General features: G+C 38.3%; 1 protein-coding gene across 2 annotated transcripts in view; it reads right to left on the bottom strand.

Annotated features, from left to right (window-relative positions):
• Positions 1–23,055, bottom strand: part of THSD7B (thrombospondin type 1 domain containing 7B) — a 912,174-nt gene that overhangs the window by 48,891 nt on the left and 840,228 nt on the right. For both annotated transcript variants that reach the window (NM_001316349.2, XM_047445935.1), the window contains exons 18-20: positions 12,512–12,653; positions 10,321–10,436; positions 8,102–8,219 (exon numbers count right to left, since the gene is read on the bottom strand). In NM_001316349.2, the coding sequence (NP_001303278.1) occupies positions 8,102–8,219; positions 10,321–10,436; positions 12,512–12,653 (376 nt within the window). The remainder of the gene's footprint in view (positions 1–8,101; positions 8,220–10,320; positions 10,437–12,511; positions 12,654–23,055) is intronic.

Below are 23,055 nucleotides of genomic sequence, written 5' to 3'. Positions count from 1 at the left end.
ATGGAGACAGTGGGGCAGTACAAGGTGATGGAGACAGTGGGGCAGCACAGGTGAGATCCTGAAGATTCCTGTGGGCCATGTTCACAATACAGGACTTTATTCTTTCTTGCCTTTTCCATGCTCTCCTTTATTACTGAGAGAAACAAACATCCCAGCAGTGGCCCTTGAGGACAACACTGTAGTGCTTATGGCAGTGGGATATCCAGAGTGGGTCTTTTCTGGACAGAGGCGCAACCAACTGTTTCAATGAAAGACATCACTGACGCAAATAACACCTCTCATTTGTATGTCTTTTGTGGATTCATCAATGGGCATTATTACTTGTTAGTTTACTCTCTGTTGTCCCTAAACTAGATTTTAAGCTCCATAAAAATAGGGAAATTGCCTTTTTTCCCCCAGTGCTGAATTCTAAGTACATAAGACTATAACTGACATGTATGTATTTGTTTATGGATTAAAAAATAGATGAATGACTTATATGTCAATATAAAAACACTTGATCAGATATTCATTTTTAGAACATCATATAGGCTATGAGTATAGTGTGTAGAATTTGGAGAGGAGTAAAAGGATGAGATATAAAATTGGGAGATTAGGGTGACTGCATCTATGGAATAATTTTTAAAAGATCCTACGGAGTCTCCAATAATCCTCTCTTCTACAGACAGGTAGAGGAACGTGGAGGAGAAAATTCACATATACTAAACACTCATGATGTGTCTGTTACTATGCCAGGTGTCTTCAAATACTTAATTTCATTTAATTCTCAAAACAAAAACTAAACCGCTAACATGTGCAAAATTCCAATTTATAGATAAAGAATTTGGACATTCAGAAAGATTCAGCTAATTGCTTAAACAGCTACATTTGAAGTTAGATTTACACAACTTTAAAGTGGATGCCCCAGTGGAAACCATGCCTGACTGCCTCTTAAAACAATTGACAAACTATTGGTTAATCACTGAAATCTTGGTCCTAAGACCTGCCATTTCATTTCTACAGGCTCTTTGCTCTCATTTGTGCAAGAAATTACATATTATTGTTGGACATTGCAATTCCCATGTTTTCATTATGAGTGACATTCTTTGTGGAAGTAGTTGTCAATTTTTCTTAGTCACATTTTCCTAATATGTACCCTGGCTACAGTTTTTGGCTCTGCCCTCTCTAGGACCTTACAGTTGAGTTCACAGATGAGCACCTTTTTAATTGTGAGTCATGCCTGGTTTCTCACACAATCCCAACTAAAGAAGATAATTATCAACAACATCAGCACATACATTTGTGAGTAGCTTATAGATGAGTCCATAACTTATTGCCAGTGGTCCAATATCAGGACTTCTAGAAAACTGCTTTCAAATCTCTTTGGTTGACAATCAGATCCAGGTCCTGGTATCCCATCCTCCCTTCCCAATGATGATTTCTCCAAACTGCAGTTCTTCCCATCTCCTCCCCTGTTTAATTTGCCTGCTATGGTTTGGATGTGGTTTGTGCCCACCAAAAGGCATGTCAACATTTGATCTCCTTTGCAGTGGGGTTGGGAGGTAAGGACTAGTGGGAGGTATTTGGGTCATAGGTGAGGATTCCTCGTTAATAAATTAATGCCCTCCCTTGGGGGAGAGTGAGTTCTCACTCTTGCAGGAATGGATTAGCTCTTGCAAGACAGGGTTGTTAAAAAGTGTGTGGCTTTCTTGGCTTCTTGCTCTTGTTCTCTTTCTCACCATGTGACTGTTTTGCACATGCCTGCTCCCCTTCCGCTTTCTGTCATGAGTTGAAGCAGCCTGAGACCCCCACCAGATGCAGCTGCCCAATCTTGAACTTTCCAGGCACCAGAATCATTAGTCAAATAAACCTCTTGTCTTTATAAATTACACAGTCTTAGGTATTCTGTTATAGCAATTCAAAATGGACTAACACAGAAAATTGGTACTCAGGAGTGAATTGTTGGAAATAAGAAACTTACTGGGAACTGGATAAAACACTATCCTTGTTACACCATAGCAAGCAACTTGGTTGCATTGTGGCCATGCCCCTACAGCTTTGTGGAATATAGAACTTAAAAGAATAGCATACCTGGTGGACAAAATTTCTAAGCAGCAAAGCTCAGGCTGCTGCTGCTTCTAACTGCTTATGGTAAACAGCTAGAGAAAAGGGAAGCTGAGTGGAAAGATTTGGAAAATTTTTAGCATGGCCATTTGGTAGAGAATGAAACAGTATCTTCAGGAAAGGAATATAAGAATACTGCCAAGAGACCCTTTGCTAAAAAGAGTAGCATGGCTAAAAGAGAGCCAGGTGGTAATGGTGAGAACAATGGAAAAAAAGCCCTGAAGGCATTTTCTTTTTCTTTTTCTTTTTTTTTTTTTTTTTGAGACAGAGTCTCGCTCTTTTGCCCAGGCGCTACTGCAGTGGCGCTATCTTGGCTCACTGCAAGCTCCGCCTCCGGGGTTCACGCCATTCTCCTGCCTCAGCCTCCTGAGTAGCTGGGACTACAGGCGCCCGCCACGGCACCTGGCTAAATTTTTTTGTATTTTTGGTAGAGACGGGGTTTCACCGTGTTAGCCATGATGGTCTCGATCTCCTGACCTCGTGATCCGCCCGCCTCGGCCTCCCAAAGTGCTGGGGTTACAGGCGTGAGCCACCGCGCCTGGCCCCCTAAAGGCATTTTAAAGATCTTCACAGCCAACACTTCCTATCAGAGGCCCAGAAGTCTAGAAGGAAAGAATGGTTTCAGGGGACATGACTGGAGCACCACTGCCCTGTGTTGCCTCAGAGATCTGCTACCCACATCCCAGTGATTCCTGCTGGAGCAGCCATGGCTCAATCTGCCCTAGATGTAACCATGCTGTCACTCTGGAGAGTCTAAGCTATAAGCTTTAGGGGCATCCACATCCATATTACTAATTTTGTAATGGGAGAACAATGAAGGTATGTTGGCTTTCACCTAGCTTTCAGAGGATGTGTCAGAAAGCTTGGGACTCAGACAGAAATATGCCACAGGAGTGGAGCTGCCACAGAGTTTCCACCGTGGCAAAGCCTAGTAGATCCCTGGAAGCAGGGCTGCCTTGGGAACCCCAGACTGTAGAGCCATTGGCAGTGTGCAATGCCCACCTGAAAAAGCCATAGGCATTCAACTCCCAACTGGTGAGAGCAGCCACATGAGCTGCACTCAGCAAAGCCATAGAGGTGGGGTTGCCCAAGGCCTTGGGAGCCCATCTCTTGCACCAGTATGCCCAGGACATGAAGTCAAATGAATATGTTCCAGAAATTTAACATTTCATGCCTGTCCTGCTATGTTTTGTACTTTCCTGGGCCCTGTCATTTATTTATTCAGGCCTATTTTTCTATTTTTTTTTTTAATTATACTTCAAGTTCTAGGGCACATGTGCACAACGTGCAGGTTTGTTACATAGGTATACATGTGTCATGTTGGTGTGCTGCACCCATTAACTCGTTGTTTACACTAGGTATTTCCCCTAATGTTATCCCTCCCCCCTCCCCCCACCCCATGACAGGTCCCAGTGTGTGATGTTCCCCACCCTGTGTCCAAGTGTTTTCATTGTTCAATTCCCACCTGTGAGTGAGAACATGCAGTCTTTGGTTTTCTGACCTTGTGATAGTTTGCTCAGCATGATGGTTTCCAGCTTCATCCATAATCCTAAAAAGGACATGAACTCATCATTTTTTATGGCTGCATAGTATTCCATGGTGTATATGTGCCACATTTTCTTAATCCAGTCTATCATTGATGGACATTTGGGTTGGTTCCAAGTCTTTGCTATTGTGAATAGTGCCACAATAAACATACATGTGCATGTGTCTTTATAGCAGCATGATTTATAATCCTTTGGGTATATACCCAGTAATGGGATCGCTGGGTCAAATGGTATTTCTAGTTCTAGATCCTTGAGGGATCACCACACTGTCTTCCACAATGGTTGAACTCGTTTACAGTCCCACCAACAGTGTAAAAGTGTTCCTATTTCTCCACATCCTCTCCAGCACCTGTTGTTTCCTGACTTTTTAATGATCACCATTCTAACTGGTGTGAGATGGTATCTCATTGTGGTTTTGATTTGCATTTCTCTGATGACCAGTGATGATGAGCATTTTTTCATGTGTCTGTTGGCTGCATAAATATCTTCTTTTGAGAAGTGTCTGTTCATATCCTTCACCCACTTGTTGATGAGGTTGTTTGATTTTTTTCTTGTAAATTTGTTTAAGTTCTTTGTAGATTCTGGATATTAGCCCTTTGTCGGATGGGTAGACTGTGAAAATTTTCTCCCATTCTGTAGGTTGCCTGTTCACTCTGATGGTAGTTTCTTTTGCTGTGCAGTAGCTCTTTAATTAGATCCCATTTGTCTATTTTGACTTTTGTTGCCATTGTTTTTGGTGATTTAGACATGAAGTCCTTCCCCATGCCTATGTCCTGAATGGTATTGCCTAGGTTTTCTTCTAGGGTTTTTATGGTTTTAGGTCTAACATTTAAGTCTTTAATCCATCTTGAATTGATTTTTGTATAAGGTGTAAGGAAGGGATCCAGTTTCAGCTTTCTACATCTGGCTGGCCAGTTTTCCCAGCAGCAGTTATTAAATAGGGAATCCTTTTCCCATTTCTTGTTTTTGTCAGGTTTGTCAAAGATCAGATGGTTGTAGATGTGTGGTATTATTTCTGAGGGCTCTGTTGTGTTCCATTGGTCTATATCTCTGTTTTGGTACCAGTACCATGCTGTTTTGGTTACTGTAGCCTTGTAGTATAGTTTGAAGTCAGGTAGCATGAAGCCTACAGCTTTGTTCTTTGGCTTAGGATTGTCTTGGCAATGTGGGCTCTTTTTTGGTTCCATACGAACTTTAAAGTAGTTTTTTCCAATTCTGTGAAGAAAGTCGTTGGTAGCTTGATAGGGATGGCATTGAATCTATAAATTACCTTGGGCAGTATGGCCATTTTCACGATATTGATTCTTCCTACACATTAGCATGGAATGTTCTTCCATTTGTTTGTATCTCTTTTATTTCACTGAGCAGTGGTTTGTAATTCTCCTTGAAGAGGTCCTTCACATCCCTTGTAAGTTGGATTCCTAGGTATTTTATTCTCTTTGAAGCAATTGTGAATGGGAGTTCACTCATGATTTGGCTCTCTGTTTGTCTGTTATTGCTGTATAGGAATGCTTGTGATTTTTGCACATTGATTTTGTATCCTGAGATTTTGCTGAAGTTGCTTATCAGCTTAAGGAGATTTTGGGCTGAGATGATGGGGTTTTCTCAATATACAATCATGTCATCTGCAAACAGGGACAATTTGACTTCCTCTTTTCCTAATTGAATACCCTTTATTTCTTTCTCCTGCCTAATTGCCCTGGCCAGAACTTCCAACACTATGTTGAATAGGAGTGGTGAGAGAGGGCATCTGTGTCTTGTGCCAGTTTTCAAAGGGAATGCTTCCAGTTTTTGCCCATTCAGTATGATATTGGCTGTGACTTTGTCATAAATAGCTCTTATTATTTTGAGATATGTCCCATCAATACCTAGTTTATTGAGAGTTTTTAGCATGAAGGACTGTTGAATTTTGTCAAAGGCCTTTTCTGCCTCTGTTGAGATAATCATGTGGTTTTTGTCTTTGGTTCTATTTATATGATGAATTATGTTTATTGATTCGCATATGTTGAACCGGCCTTGCATCCCAGGGATGAAGTCCACTTGATCGTGGTAGGTAAGCTTTTTGATGTGCTGCTGGATTCGGTTTGCCAGTATTTTATTGAGGATTTTTGCATCGATGTTCATCAAGGATATTGGTCTAAAATTCTCTTTTTTTGTTGTGTCTCTGCCAGGCTTTGGTATCAGGATGATGCTGGCCTCATAAAATGAGTTAGGGAGGATTTCCTCTTTTTCTATTGATTGGAATAGTTTCAGAAGGAATGGTACCAGCTCCTCTTTGTATCTCTGGTAGAATCGGCTGTGAATCCATCTGGTCCTGGACTTTTTTTGGTTGGTAGTCTATTAATTATTGCCTCAATTTCAGAGCCTGTTATTGGTCCATTCAGGGATTCAACTTCTTCCTGTTTTAGTTTTGGGAGGGTGTATGTATCCAGGAATTTATCCATTTCTTCTAGATTTTCTAGTTTATTTGCATAGAGGTGTTTATAGTATTCTCTGATGGTAGTTTGTATTTCTGTGGGATCGGTGGTGATATCCCTGTTATCATTTTTTATTGTGGCAATTTGATTCTTATCTCTTTTCTTCTTTATTAGTCTTGCCAGCTGTCTATCAATTTTGTTGATCTTTTCAAAAAACAAGCTCCTGGATTCATTGATTTTTTTGAAGGGTTTTCTTTGTGTCTCTATCTCCTTCACTTCTGCTCTGATCTTAGTTATTTTTTGCCTTCTGCTAGCTTTCCTATTTTGGAATAGGAATGTTTACAAATGTCTATACCACCACTGTATCTTGGAAGCAAATAACTTGTTTTTTGTTTTGTTTTGTTTTGTTTTTGCAGGCTCAAAGCTGGAAGAACTTACCTTGAGTCTCAGATGAGACTCTGGATTTTGGGCTTCTAAGTTGTTACTGAAACAAGTTAAGACTTAGGATTATTGGATGGAATGATTGTATTTTGCATGTGAGAGGAACATGAGTTTTTAGATTCACCTGTGGAATGCTATGGTTTGGATTTGGTTTGTTCCCAGCAAAACTGAGATTAAAATTTGATCCCCTTTGTGATGGTCTTGGACGATGAGGTCTATGGGGTGGTGTGTGGGTCATAAGTGCTGATCCCCCATGAATGGATTAATGCCCTCCCTGGGGGCGAGTGAGTTCTCACTCGTGCAGGGATAGATTCATTCCTGCAACACAGCATTATTTCTCTCTTGCTTCCTCAGTTTCTCTCTCTTGCTTCCTCTTTCACGATGTGATCTCTTTACGAACACCTTCTCTCCTCTGCTTTCTGCCATTAGTTGACACAGCCTGAGGCTTTCACCAGATGCAGCTGCCTAATCTTGAACCTTCTAGCCACAAGAATCATGAGCCAAATAAACCAATTTTCTTCATAAATTAACCAGCCTCAGGTGTTCTATTATAGCAGCACAAAATGCACTAAGATGTACTAACAGTGTACCAGGATTTCTCCCTAGGTCCTTACTCCAAATTTTTGACATCTACCTTATGATATATTGCAACTCTACTTTAGGACCAGAGTTCTGTTCTAAGCCAGCTCTGTTTTATGCTATGGTCTTGTTGCTTTCTCTCCCATGGGCCCATGTCTTGATCCCTACTTCAGCCTAATGACTGGAATGCCACCTCTGTTTTCATTTACCTGCCTCACTACTGAGTATCAATTGCCTTCTGCATTCCTTGCCATGGTGCATTACTTATCCACTGGGATTCTGGGATCGTGTAGTAATGATTTCCGTTTCTTCCCAAAGATTTATACTACCTTTCCTTTACAACATTATGTGATAATGTAACATTATTGCTGAGATGTGACTGACTACCCAGAAAGTACATTTCCTTCCCTGCCATCTTCCAATGAGTTGGAAACATAGAGCAATTTTGTCTAATATATATGTAAGAGATGTATGCTGCTTCCAACCCAGTTCATAAAACCTCCACAGAGCCAAGTGATATCACCATCCAGAGTAACTTGGTCCTGTTAAAGTGGCAGAACCTCTGTGAACTTGTGTCCTTGATTTACATTTTGAAGCATAAAGCCCTCTCTTTATGTGGGTGAAAAGCAAGCCTCTAATCTATTATGCTCAGCCTAGGGTGTGCTTTGGGGGTTTATGTGGTATAGTAGACAGCTTTACATACTACTTTTTCCAAAAACCACTGAGGCCAACATGTTTTTTCAATTTGTTGAGCTTATGATCTTCTGAATAAACATTGTCCCACAGTTTCATCAGCCTCTCTGGAGTCTGCCACTGTTATCTGGTCCATTCTGCAACCTCTGCCTCACTCTCCTGGACTGATATGAGGCCAGGCTCTGTTTTTCTTCCCCTGTGGGTCAGTTTCATATTGACTTCAGCTGGGTCCCATACCTTATGCCATTTATCAAGCTATGGCATACTGAATGATATTTAGAAACCTACACTAGTTAGTGGGAAATATGGGGAAACCAATACCTCCATGGCCACAGGTCTGTGAACACTCTGTCCAAGCCGTCCACCCTGAGAGCTGACAGTTGACCACGCATTCCACCAAGCAGGGAATGCTCATTCTCTGGGGCTTCTCCAAATTATGCTGCAAATGGAAATGAAACACAACTTTATTGGAGAAATCACTCTTTAGTCAAATCACTGTCCTTTCATGGGAAAGACTTTCCTTTACTCTGTGATAATAACCTTTCCATATTTCAGTGGGGAAGTATATCCTTTCTTATATAAATTGGTGACAATCATAGAAAATGATTGTCCTTTAATTACCAAATAAAAATTTGTCAGCCAAAATTTCTTTTTATAAAATCCTAAACTCTATTAGGCTGCCAGGAAAGCAGAGGCGTCTGATTACACAGAGATCTGTCCTGTTGCTCAATCAGCAAGGAACCAGAAAGACACTTCAACGCCAACTTCAGGCACTTTGTGCTTCTGAATAGGCCAAAAGTACATGGAGGGCCAACACAGAAAGCCAGCTAGGCTAGAAAATAAATAATGTGGAGATAAAAATACAATCAGCAACCCATCTAAAGTGTATAAAAAAGCCTGGGCTAAAAACAATCATGGTCGTAACGATGGGTCAAGTTGATGATACCGTTTATTTTTTTTCTTGTCCTCTCTGAAACCAGCATCTTGGCAAACCATACAAATTTTCTAATGGCCAAGGTAGCAGAGATCCTAGTGAAAGAATAAAGCACCTGAGAAACACAGAAGGAATAATAAAAAATTCTGCTCTAGGAATAACACACTATTTCTGTGCTTATTAGGAAAACTTTGACATTCAACATGTGTTATATGGTAGCAATATCCTTACCAAGCTAATATTAATGATTATAGTACAATGACTTGCCAAGTGGGTAAAATGGATACTATCATAATGAGACCTATAATCCATCTGAGATATATGGATATTCTAGTTTTGTTAATAATTTGAGATTGCTTTAAACTGGTATTTTTTACATATTTATTGGGCATATGGTATCTGGAAATCAGAGAAACTGACTTTCTATTAATGAATAGTTTATATCTTTTTGTATCAAAAGAAAATACTCATTACATACACTAAATAAACAATGCTCACCTATTGGGAGTTGTAGATTAATGATTTTTTTTCCCTGAAACAGACAACTTCTTTAGAGGCTGATTAAATAAAATAAATGTTAAAATAAATCATGGTATACAGCATTCTGCCCTGTATCAGTCAGTTTCAGAATTTGACCAAATGGAGATCCATTTCAGATGTTCTGTTCTTAGGACTGGTGACGTAGTCTGCAGCTACTCTGTTGGTTTAAAGAGCATGAGCGTGTTGTGACAAAACAGAGCAAAGTCAGGATAGGTGACAGAGGTTTGTTTTGTTTTAATTCCCACTGATGTATTCCACCTCTCTTAAGAGAAATGCCACCAATTTTCATTCTGCAAGTTCGTTAAAGAAGTTTCTGGGGAAATGTGAGTTAACTGGTCCCCTTTTTCCAATTTATCCAAAGACTGTTTCAGTGATTCTTGAAGTGTGATAGTATCTTTACTTCTACTAAACTGCCCCCATAGTGTTTTTCATTTATATGTTGGCAAGAAAATGCCAACTTCTTTGGAAAAGGTCTGACTATAGCTTTTGTCTGAACTCCATATAGTTTGGAACAGAGGGAAAAAAAGGAGGGCTATAAAATTACAAAGATTCAGAACCCATTAATTTGAAACTTGGTAGGGATGCATTTTAATGTAGGTTGAAAAGAAAAATCTCTGCTATTTATCCAAATATTATCTGCTTAAGCAAACTGACATGATTCTGTAATGGCAAGTGTCCATGTTCGTCTTCTATGCAAGGGACAGTATTATCACATATGCAAATGAATCACCTGTCCAATACAAAAGAATCACATTTAAATATTAAAGTCGCCCAAGGTCAACAGTTTGGCAAACAAGTACAGGTAAATAACTTTTTATAAGTAATAAAAACATATATTTTTTAATGAACCCATTTCTCCACTACAAAAATGACCTTTCCCAGTCATTTTGACTAAATTCAAACTAGTGAGCTATAACCATACTATACTGGCACCGCTTACTCTAACTGAACCTAAGCTGAGATGAGAAGAAATCAGTCTGTTATCTATATTGGACATCATGGAACTGCAGACCAATATTAAGAAAAACAAAGCCTTGGATGTGAGATATGAATATAAACACAGTACCTGCTCACATTGGTCCATGCTGACTGGCTTGCCATCACTGCACACACAGCTTAGCAGGCGGGTCCTGACGCCTTGACCACAGGGTGCGTTTTCACTCAGCTGGCATGTGCTCCACTCTACAGGCATAGGATCACCCACACTGAGTTTCAAAATTATGGCCATGTGAGCAAAATACAACAGACCTTTGATTATCTGCTTTGGTGGAGAATAATCCACACATAATCCTAAAATCATTTCCAGGTAGCTTTGGGAATCATCATGCAATGCCCTTATTGCAAAACGAACAAAAAACAAATACACAAAGAAAAGTGAGTTACCTACTTAAATTTGCTTTCCAGAGATAAAGAGCCAATGGTTTGTTAGAAACCATCTCATGGCTGGCTGGAGTAGAAGAGGAAAGATACTAACCAGGATGGTAAAGAAAAATCACTTTAGAATCAACTATTTGTTGAGGATAACTGGAGAAAAAACAACCCAGAAATGATGCCAGTTGCTATGCTCCAGATGTTTGTGTACCCCTGCAAAATTCATATATTTAAATCCTAACCCTCTAGGTGATGGTATTTTGAGGGAGAACATTTGGGGGTAATTAGAATATGGGAGCTGAGCTCTCATGAATGAAATTAGTACCTTTATAAAGGAGGCCTAAGGGAGCTTGTTTGCGCCTTCCATCCTCTGAGGATGTAGCTAGAAGGCACTGTCTAGAGATACAGGCCCTCCTCACCAGACACTGAATCTAGTAGCACCTTGATTTTGGACTTCCAGCCTCCAGAACTATAAGAAATACATTTATGTGTTTTATAAGCTACTTAGTCTATAGCAATTTGTTATAGCATCCAGGACAGACTAAGACACCAATCTTTTATGTAAACTTGAAAACATTTTCAATACTAAATCCAATCATTTAAACCATTTAGTGCATTTGATACAGAATAGTCAAAAGAGATGCTCCGGGAAAGAAAGAGGGAAGGGCACACAAAACTGTATGGACTGTTACAGAAACTATATTTTTTCAGATTATTCTATCATGAGAAAAAGTTTTACAGATTTGGCTAGTCATATTACAAACTAGATGGTGAAGAATTAGAATAAATTATCCCAAAGTTAATTTGATTTTTAAACAACTGTTATTTTTGGTGTCAGTAGAAAGGAAGACCCTTGGTCATATAAAAACTCTTTAAAGAAATTTTCCATATTGGTAGATGATCTAATAGTTTAATAGGAATAGAATAGCAAACCCATGTATAGTAAAATCAGTGTTTCAAAGATATGCTCTTCCAATAAAGCAAGTTTTATTGTATTTCTGAAACAGTACTATAAAAACCAGAGATCTCTTCTCTAAAGAAAAAGGACAAATACACCAGGTCATCTTTACCCACGAAGACAATCAGACAGCCCCACAGAAGTCACTATGAGGTTTTCCACAAGAGGAATCTCAGCAGAGCCAACATGGCTGTGGTGAGGATTTTTTTTTTTCTTTCAGAAAAGGCAATTGCTTTGCCTCTGCAGGCATGTGGTGGTTTGGTTGTCAGTATTGAATTCAATGCTGTGACTTAACATGGTTCCATATTTTGTAGCATTATGGAATGTCTGCTGCTGCAGGGAATGGCAAGTAGCGGATCAATGTAACTATACCAGTCCTCTGGTTTTAGACACTGAGCACTGTGGTGCCTGGAAAATTACTGAGCAGCGGCTGAACAGCTAGAGTGATTTAACTCCCAGTGTGCCTCGAAAACATCCCTGACCAGTCAGTAGTAGCATTCATTCTTATTCAGACCCATACAGAAAGTACCTCACAAGCTCAGATTTCTGAAATAATAAAAGGCATAAAAGAGCCAAATTCTATCACAGTATGATTACATTCTTCTCTCAATGGTAAATTATTCTCTGCTACTTATTTTTGTTGTTTCAGTTTATCATGGCTTAAATCAACATTTTGCTGAAATGTTGCCAAATCTTTCTAAGCTTCTCTTACTACAGAAATTTTATGTGGCCTTGCTGATTCTACATGCCAAGAGTGGGCATTTCTTTCTGTGAGGGGATACTAGAAACATGAAGTCCTCAGGCTTTTATGCAATACACTCACACATTCTACTCTCCATTCTTAATCTTGAGAATGAAAACCCACGCAAAAATTCTCTCATTAGTCAATGTTCAGGGAGAACGACAAGGTCATAGATTTTAACTGTACCTGTTAGATTGTACTGGAACTGGAAGCAATTTTCATTCAGGAGGCAAGGCTGCACCTGTGAGTCTTCAGCACAAGTCCTTGAGTTCAGTGATGGTCTTAGCAGGTGGCGAGTTCTTCTCTGCATTGTGTGGGGATCGCATGACTATTAAAATCAGAGTAGGAAAAGTTGACTGTGGGCAAGTTATTTGATAAATTATATAAGATATACAGGTATAAGTAGGCACATATGTAACAATATAGGGAATAGATTATCTAGAGGGTTAAACATATTACTTAGAAAATGAAACCATTCTGTGAATGATTATAAATTCTTTTTCTCCACCTGACAACTCTTTTGTTTTTCCTGTGTTACCTTGAAGGCTACATTTCTATCTCCCGTATATAATTAAGCACACGGAGACTATTTCTATCATTTAAACTCACACTGTACTCTCAAATAGTCTGCAACAATGTAAGAGATCCGTATATTTTGAATGTTTAAATGCTTTTTTTTTTAAAAAAAGGAAGAAACTGCCCTGTGACCTCAGATAGTCTAGACCAATAAAAATAATCACACAGAAAATTTTCATGAGAAAATCATTTTTTAAACACTAGAACACAGAGATATAGAAAAGGAATTATAAAATCAACATTGCCAATACACTAGAACCTTCTTCTTATTTGGGAATGCCTTTGGTCCACAGAGCATGGACAACTGCATGCTGTTGCCCTTCTGGCAAAATTAATGTGAAAATGTGAACTCCAAAGATATCCTGCAAATATCATGATACCTGTGGCTCCACATGTCCTCCTGTAGCCTCAGTTCCTATAATGTTCTTGACCCAGGTCAACCGGCCTGCCAGATTTCATCCAGCTGGTCTACCCACAGTGGGCCTTCAAGCTCCTCCTACTCGAACAATCTTCTTTCCACTGTCCTCCAAATCCTATTCACCGTTTTCAGAACACTAATCAAGCCTCACTCCTGTCAGTCTTTTTTCTAACAATACCATGTTCTTCTCTTCCTTTTTGAGCAAACTTCCACTCATGCTTAGGAAATTCTGTATAGAACTGCTTCTAAACACATATACATACATATATCCTCAGGTGCTAACCTTTCTTTGCATCGCCATTCTGTTTCTTCATCACCCTGCCTCTTACTTTCTTTACTAATTCCTTTAGGGCATGTTGGATCATGGCTTCTACTTCTCATGTCACTCTCTGAAAGTCTTAATATCAATTATATGTCACAGTTTTTCAACAAATACCATTAAACATGTTCACAACATGCAATCCCAGACCCTCAATCTAACGAGGCCCATAGATTCTTAAGTCATGGGAAAAATAAAAGTCTCTGGATGAAGATCATCAAATCACCATTTCTATAAGTGGGATATTTTATTTGCTTTTTATTCCTATTCCTCTTTCAGATATAGTAGTAAAGAACAAAACCTGTACACTGAGTCTTGACTATGAACCAAAATTATTATGTTGGATTGCACTAAAATATGCAAAAAGCATGCCACAAATTTTTCTTCTAATTGTAAAAGTTTGGACCATTGATACACATTCACTATCCATGTGATTTTGTACTTGGATCTGTCAGTACTTATAATTTTATACTTAATTGAATCAAATTGTCTCTGGATAATCAAGAAGGGCCCATGAAACCAAGCAATTATTCTTAATTATCTGCACATGAATTCCATGCTAAATGCTTACCAATAATTTATCACTATTTTACCAATTAATTTGAATGCTTCTTTTCATGTGGCAGAATAATAACAAATGATTTGTCAATAAAATAAAATGAAAGTATCTTGGTAGATACTCCTGATTAGTGCTTTCCTACATTTCTATCTTATAAAGTAATCAATTAATGTCTGAAACAAGTGAATACATGTAAAGGCTTAGGTACCTGCTTAGTGTAAGCTATCAAGTAAAAGAGAAAATAAAACATACACACATCAATCAAATTACTATGTAACCTTGAACAATTCACTTATATACTCTAAACCTTAGTTCCGCATCTAAACCTAGATGAGAAAGAAGAATGGGGATGGGATGAAATTTGATAAGATTTAAGAATTTTCTTCCTCAGATCTCACAGTCCATATGTGTATAAGTCTGATGGGTATAGTTCTAAAATATCTTCTTGAGGTAATCCACATTTCATACCATATAGTTTCGGATAATTAGATATTAATATAAAGAAAACCAACACTGCACCTTACTCCCCTACTAAATTTCTTCCCATAGAAACAGGCAAAGAGGATTGTGTAGGTGACTGAAATCCATGAACGTGATTCAGCCTCATCTCAGGCAGTATTTTCACACTTCATCTTATAAAAATTCTCCTGGTGCTGCTAACAAGTGATAGATTACTGTTTCTCCTTATTTCTTTCTAATAGCTATTTATAGAAAGTTTAATGTTAGTGTTTTTATCCTTATTTCTTTCTCTCTATTAGCTGTTTATACAAAGTCCATAAAATAATGAATTATCCACAAGAGAGATGGAGGAGTGTGAGGATAAGTGAAAAAAGAAGAGAAAGGATGTTTACATCTATCTGGATGATTTCTTTATTAGATCAAGACTCCTCAAATACAATTCTGGATCTTCTCTTCACTAGAGTAATTATATAAAGACATATTGTCAATTTCCTGCATATAGAAGTGGGAAAATGATGTGTGAATAACTAACCAAAAGTCAACTTTGGACCAGTTTTATTTTTAAAAAATCAAGGTTATATAGCTAATGTTTATTTGCTAGGGAAGAAGATGATCCAGTTAGAACCAGTTAGTGTCTAGTACAGAAACCCCTTCATGACTTACCACTTTTGTAAAGCAGCATTTACCTTAAAGTTCAATCTTCCCTTATGACATTATGCCTTCACGTATTTTGTTATCTCTAGAAGCAAAGCCTTTTGCCTGATTTAAATACTTGTATTCATATCGCTCAAGATGATGTGCTTTCTGGTAAACAGCACACTTTCTATGAAGGAGTCTTGTCAAAGAGTAATGAAGCCTTGATATCCAACTTCCAATTTACAGGAAATTCAAGGATAAAGGAATATGTTAAACCTCACCATGCAGATGCAATTCACGAAAGAGAGACTGAAAATGTTTATAGGACAGGTGGCCTGTTTCTTCACCAATAAATTACTATGAAGGTGGAAAACAAGCAAGGGGAGGAGAAGCTAGGTTAAAAGAGATTTAAAGACATATCTAAAGACAGAACTAAGTGATCATGTTTGAACCACTCTGGTTTTAGACCTGTAAGGAGAAGTAAGGAAAAGACTACCATAGACATCAGGGCAGAATTTACTTTTGAGGGAAGCAAGGAAGTTATAATCAGGAGGAAGTTGTGAAGCTCTTCCTTCCAAGTAGCTGGGAAGGTTCTGCCACCTGGGTGACTGTTACAAGGGTATTCGGCTAATAATGATTTAACTGTATATTTGTTAAATATATAGTTTATTTGTTCTGCATCTGTGTCCTAATCAATTTTGAAGAAGTTAAAACAATCTTTCTCTCATTGTTCTTGGAAAATGTAAGATTATTTTCATTATGAGATTTGATAGTTTCCTGACAACCATCTTTTCCAAAGTGTGTTGTTTTCTATAGTGTGTTAAGAGGTGCCAAGAGAGAAAACCAGGGTTCCTAGTCAAATATAATGAGAAAACATTGACCTAATAGTGCTAAACAAGGATTTTTTGCAATAGAACTTAATGATGTTTGGCAGTCTGCTATTTGTTATTAAAATTTATTTTCTTTTTTCATTGTTGGCACAAGACTGGATCATACATCCCAGCCTTCTTTGCAGTTAAGTGACCATGTTACTGAGTTCTGACAAATGACAAATAAATGGGAGGTCTTATGTGACACTTCCACTCCTGATGCTAAATCCCACTTGTCATCCTCCAACCTGCACTGGCTCCCTCCAGAGAGCTGGAATAGGGGTAACCAGAATTACATTGGAAGTCAAGCTTGAAGACAGCACACCCATTATGGGCTTGGGCCTCAGAGTGATGCATGTAACAGATTCAGATTACCCTTTCCACAGCTGGAAAACTCACTGTGGACTGTTTTCTGGGTGATCAGCAAAAATTACATTGCATTTGAACCATTATAATTTGGGACTATGTGTTTTGATAAATTATCTATAACTAGTACACTGTACATGGTGACTCTTGAAGAGTTTCAAATTTTTATGTTTCAATTTAGCATTTCATGTTATATAATTTGAATTGCAGATTTAAGACACATGAATGTGAAATCATTGTAAATTACAAAGTTATTAATTTATTATCTATATGCATCACTTGGTCTCCTTGAAAATTTTTCTATTAAGATTTACACTCATTTTAAACAAATAGTTTTTGAAAATACATTAAATGCAAGACACCACACCAATGAATAAAACATCATCTAAGGAAGAATTTTCTTTTTATAGTCTGGAGTTTCAAGAGATCATACCTTGTCTCCCCAAAAGACTTACAATTACGCTTTAAAAGAACATAATAGGGATTTAAAAGGAAATGGAGCTATTTCACCCTCCACACAAAACAGAAGAACTTACTAAGTTGCCTCTGAGAAAGTTAATTTACTAATTTTTTATATGTGTTGGAAGATAAGGTGGCAGGTGGGTGAGGTTAGTCTTAGTCATCCAAATAAGTGTTTTTTTGTTTGTTTGTTTTTTCAAACTTCAAGCCATTACATATTATTGGGTTGTGAAAACAATATTAGTAACTAATAATTCTGTAGTGTTTACTATATGTCAGTCACCATTCTAAGTTCTTTAACTCATTTCATCCTTATAACTGCCTTATAAGGTAGATATATTATTATTCCCATTTTACTGATGGCAAAGAGAGGTTAAGCAATTTCATCAAGATCACACAGTTACAGGCAGAGCCAAGATTCCAACCCTATCAGCCTTGTGAGTACATGTTTTTAATCATGCCATCTTGGTTCTCAATTTAGTGGGTAAAAGCCGGCAATATTAAAACTGATAGGGCATAGCATAGTAAACATCTGTCATATACTCAGGGTAAAAATTATTTCAAAAGATTATATATATATATTCATAACATCAATAGGTAAACAATGATTTGTGTGTTTTTTGTGATATAAAACACATTTTTATAGTAGACCATGGTCAAAAATGATTAAAGGCCACTAATGTAATGATAAATTCTTATCAAAAGAATTTTTCCATTACATAGACTGTCATGATCATTATTGCAAAACTGTTTTCATTATAAAGGTTTGCTTGTCTTTTTTTTGTGCGTTTTGCTATAAGCTATAACTTTTTTATTTTTTATTTTATTTTTTATTTATTATTATTATTATTATACTTTAAGTTTTAGGGTACATGTAGTGCACATGTACCCTAAAGCTATAACTTTTAAAAAGAAGTAGATGTTCACTCTATTTTTCTCTCTAGAATATTTCTCTATAAGATGAAACGGTTTTCTTCTTTAAATGCCAGAATTAATTTCAGAACAATACAATTATCAAATTAAGTTTGTACCTAGAAAATAATTTGCTTTCAATTATATGACATCTAAAGCAAAAAAAAATGTGATTCTTAAATGTAAACTTGTCAGACAAATTAATTTTTTAGGCATATCTCTTCCCATAGAAATGGGTATGGAGTTAGGTTGGTGTCTGCAGCCTATCTAGATAAATTAGGCTTAACTAGAGAAGAAGCAAAAGCTAGTGTCTGAGTCAACTCTTCATGTGTTTAGAATATTTCCTTTCACAGGGTTCTTTGTGACCGAATGTGAAGTAGGATCAAAACTCAAAAACTGTTGTTGACCATGGGCTCACACATATCAATATTGGCCATGAGGTAGAAGAAAGTAGAACCGAAGGGGGTACTCCAGCAGTCCAGGTGCAGAAAGCATTCCACTAACTATATTTCAACTCGCCCCTGCTAATGCCCTGGGGCTTTTTTTACCCTAGCCATGCCTTCCATGGATACTCTCAATACTAGAAAAGTCATTCTTCAAGTGTGGTCCCAGGACCAGCAGCATCAACATCACCTGGCAACTTGTTAGAAATACAAATTATTGGGTCCCATCCCATTCTAGATCCACTAAATCAAAAACCCTAGGGTAAAAAAAGACAAAAGAAAAATCTACTTCGGGGTTTGGATTCGGCAATCTTGTTTTAATGAGTCCTCTAGGTGGTTCTAATGCATGTTCCAGTTTTAAAACCAATGCCCTCAAACCATTGTCTCTGAACTTTATGTGCACAATAACAAACTGATATCCCCATCCCCAGCATCCTCTTCTAATCTTTCCCATCTCTGTTAATGGCAACTCCGACAATCTAGAGGCTCAGGTCAAAAAGTTTGAAGTCAATTTTGACTCCCTTATTTTTCTTACACCTTACAACCCAAACCTGAGCAAATCCTTTCAGCTCCATCTTCAAAGTAGAATGCACAACCCATCTACCTCTCACCATTTGTGCCACTCCTATCCTGGTAAAAGTCACTATCACTCTTCACTTAGATTATAACAATAACCTAATAAGTGACTCCAATCTTCCCATTCTACAGATTATGTTGACCTCTGGGGCCAGAACTATCTTCTTAAAATAGCTCAGTTCAGATTATTTAACTCCTCTCTTCCATACCCTTAAATGACTTCCCGACTTAGTGAAAACCAAGTCCATTTCTATGCCTACAAAGTTATACACAATCGGGTCCAGCATTATATCTGAATGCTCATAGCCTGCTTACACAATCTGCCCATTCACCTCCTTACACTATCTGCCTACACCTCATTCACCACTCTGGCCTCTGTGTTGTTCTTGGAGAGCTCCAAGCATTTCCTTGCCCCAGGGCCTTGATCTTGCTGTTCCCTCTGCCTGCAATGCTCTTCCTCCAGTACCTGCATGACTTGCTGCTTTATTTGCTTCTGGTCACCACTGCTCAAAGCCTTCTCTATTAGAAAGGCCTTCTCTGATCATGCTACGTAAAAATATCAGCAACTCTTCCATGTTACTCCTTGTCTTCCTACATATTTTTTCTTCTCCATATCATTTATCGCTACCTCATATTCTATATATTAATTTGGTGCTTCTGGTGTGTTTTTTTTTTTTAAATTTTATCTTTCCCCTAATAGGCTCATGGGCTTTAGAGATACTCGACAATAGATTTCAACAGACTGTGTGTGTTAGTGAGTAACAACGCAAGCTTTGCAAGGGCAGTCTGGCCTTTCAATTGTCTCAAGTAGAGAGAATATTTATCACTTAGCCTCCCCAGGGGGTTGAGATATCTAATGAGTTTAATGAGATTAATGAATGTGTATCCTGAATTCCTGGGAGTTTTGGATTCTTCAAGTGCAGTGCACTCTTATCATTAATGCATTTTACATAGGTAAAAAGATAGCATACAACACAAGAATGTTTACTATAACATCAATGCAAACCTGATTGAAACACTATAAACTAATCTGGTCAGTTAGAAGGGCCGGAGGTTCAGATTTCTGGGGTCCTTCAGTGAAGACTGTCTCTTCCTATACTTTACCTTAATTTTAAGGAATTTAACAAGGCATACATATCTGTGCATAGAGGAATAGCTCCTTACAGCTTCCACTGGTCTTTTAAGAAATAAATGGATAATAGTGAGGGAAACTAAAACTATATTCTGGGTGCTATGCTATTCCCAAAATAATAGCAACAGGAAACATTTAAAAATGTCAATACATACCTAGAACTGTGCTGAACATTCCATATTTATTATCTCACACATCTCTTCAACCTCCCAACGAGCTAGGTGTACTTTTAATATCCTTGTTTTTACAGATAATGAAATTAAAGATCAAACAACATAACAAGTTTATAGTAGATATCTAAGCTGGGATTTCAATCTGGGAGGTCTAATTTGCTCCTCAGTAACTGTTACACTTGTAAAGCACTGGTGCTTGTGGAGTATGTTGAGTTGAAGATAACTGGTTAAAAAAAAAAAAAGCACCACAGAGCTGTATTGTGATTGCAGTTATTGTAATCTGAAAAGCATTTAGTATGGACAATGGTAATTAGAGATTGGGAAAGAGAGGGAACAGACACAAGGAACTATAGCTTATAAGCTAATCAAAAAGCAAGATAAATCACAGGCTAAAGAATGAGAGAGCCAAGCTAGGAATAGAACAATAAATAAGGCTTGCTGCCTGCCTTTGAGGAGCCCACAGTGCACAAAAGATGCTCCCAGTCTAGGGGCCTGGCTTGTCAGATTTAGAGTTAATTGGAAGGAGAAGTGCCAGATATATGTGTTAGTATTAACGGGACTGACAAGACCAGGGGCAAAAGCTATGATATCATCAAGATGATAAAACATTCCTGGTAAGACTTTGCTGGCCTACTGCAAAGAGGAAGTTAGGATGATGCATAAATGTCAGTAGATTTTTTGCTTAGCTAAGTTATTTGGGTGAAGATTTTATAATAGGCAGGGACATCCTCACATAGTCTTTCTGTCTGATATTTTATGACACTAAGGAGTTGTGAAGTTGCATATTTACAATCCAGTCAAAGGTTTTGGAACAGATAAATGATGTATGGCATATCCAATCACAGAAATCGAGGCTGTCACCTGTTTATATTACAGTTGGAGCTTGGGAGTGAAGAAAAAATATGACCAAGTACAAGCCAAAATGCTGGGCTGAATTCTCCAAAAAAGTCAGTTATTTGGCATTGAGAGAGGAAGAAAGAGATGAAAGAGATATGATCCTCAAATGCAATACAGTCTGGATCCTGTAATCAAAAAAATATAAACACTATAAAGGACATTATTGCGACCCATGAGAACTACAAATATGGACTACAGACTAGTTATAAGTATTGCACTGAGGCTGAAGTTTTAAACCATGTTGTGATTATGCTAGAAAATATCCCTGTATTTAGGATTACATATTAAATTATCAATATTAAGGGATAAAATGGATGATGCCTACAACATATACTGAAATGGTTCAGAAAACAGAATAGTTGTGTGTGTATGTTTGTGTTTGGAAGGTCTGTGTAGAGACAGAAATAGAGATATACAGAAAAAGACCTAGACATAGAGGTAAGCATATGTGGTAAACTTAATAATTGGTGGTGCAAATTTCATGCAAATGAGTTTTGGAAATTTTTTCAATGAGAGAAATATAAATGGCACTGGAACACCAATATTAGAAGACACTAATGAATAACACGAGTGAAGTCTTACCAGGAATGTTATATCGTCTTAATGATATCATAGCTTTTGCCCCTGGTCTTGTCAGTCCCATTATATTAAAACATGTATCTAGCACTTCTCCTTCCAATTAACTCTAAATCTGACAAGCCAGGCCCCTAGACTGGGAGCATCTTTTGTGAACTGTGGTTTCCTCAAAGGCAGGCAGCAAGCCTTATTCATATTTATCTATATGCCACCCAAAGGGTCCTTAGGTGACAGTTGCCATTTGAAATGAGGGCACACGAAACTCTTAATCTCAATCTCAGTTTCCCTCTCTCCTTTCACTTTCTCTCTCTTTCCTTTCCTTCTCCTCCTCCTTCCTCTTTTCCTTCCCATGAAATGCTTACTTCTCTTTCTTTATCCTAAGCCCCAGCCATTCAAGAACCAAATTTAAAGTCGAGCCAAAGTAGCCGATAAATTGCTTGAGGCCTCCTGGTCTGTGAGGAGTCCCAGAATAATATCTGGAATGAGACTCCCAGGACAAAAATTCCAGTCTCTGCCAGCAGAGTAGGGGTACTGGGTCTTTCTCTAGACCCCAGAAAAGTAGAAGGGGCCACTTCTATGACATTTCTGTTTTAATATTTGTGCACCCTCCATTCCCACTCCCTACCAAACCAAAGAAAAGGGGCCAAACAATGGATCTAGAATGTGTTTGGGATTTCACGCTTCACCTTTTCCTTTCTTCTTCCACCAAAGAATGCAGGGCCCCTTTCCTCTCAGGTTAGCCAAAGTCACTTGATCTGCTCTTAGAAGAGGTGTTATCCAGTTGCATACTTGGGGCTAGCAACATAGAGGCCCCCACATGGGACTTCGATCTAGGTCCATTCTTTCTAGTCACATTGTTGTTCTGGGCTCTCCTCATACAGGATGTATTCTTTCATTTTTTTTCCTCTTTCCTCATCACTCTCCTACGCCACTTTGCCTAACTCGCCCTTACCCACCTCTCAGGTTTCCAGAAAAACATTCTCTTCCTGAAAGATGTCACTGATCTTTCCAGGGGTTAGAAAATGTGCCAATATCCGGGTGTCGTGGCTCACGCCTGTAATCCCAGCACTTTGGGAAGCCAAGGTGGGTGGATCATGAGGTAGGAGATTGAGACCATCCTGGCTAACATGATGAAACCCCGTCTCTACTAAAAATACAAAAAATTAGCTGGGCATGGTGGCACGTGCCTGTAATCCCAGCACTTTGGGAAGCCAAGGTGGGTGGATCACAAGGTAGGAGACTGAGACCATCCTGGCTAACACGGTGAAACCCCGTCTCTACTAAAAATACAAAAAAATTAGCTGGGCGTGGTGGCAAGCGCCTGTAACCCCAGCTACTCAGGAGGCTGAGGCAGGAGAAA

This window comes from Homo sapiens, chromosome 2 (genome assembly GCF_000001405.40).
Source record: "Homo sapiens chromosome 2, GRCh38.p14 Primary Assembly".
NCBI lineage: Eukaryota > Metazoa > Chordata > Mammalia > Primates > Hominidae > Homo > Homo sapiens.
The sequence above is the reverse complement of the archived record's forward strand: the minus strand, read 5'-3'. Positions and strand labels throughout refer to the sequence as shown.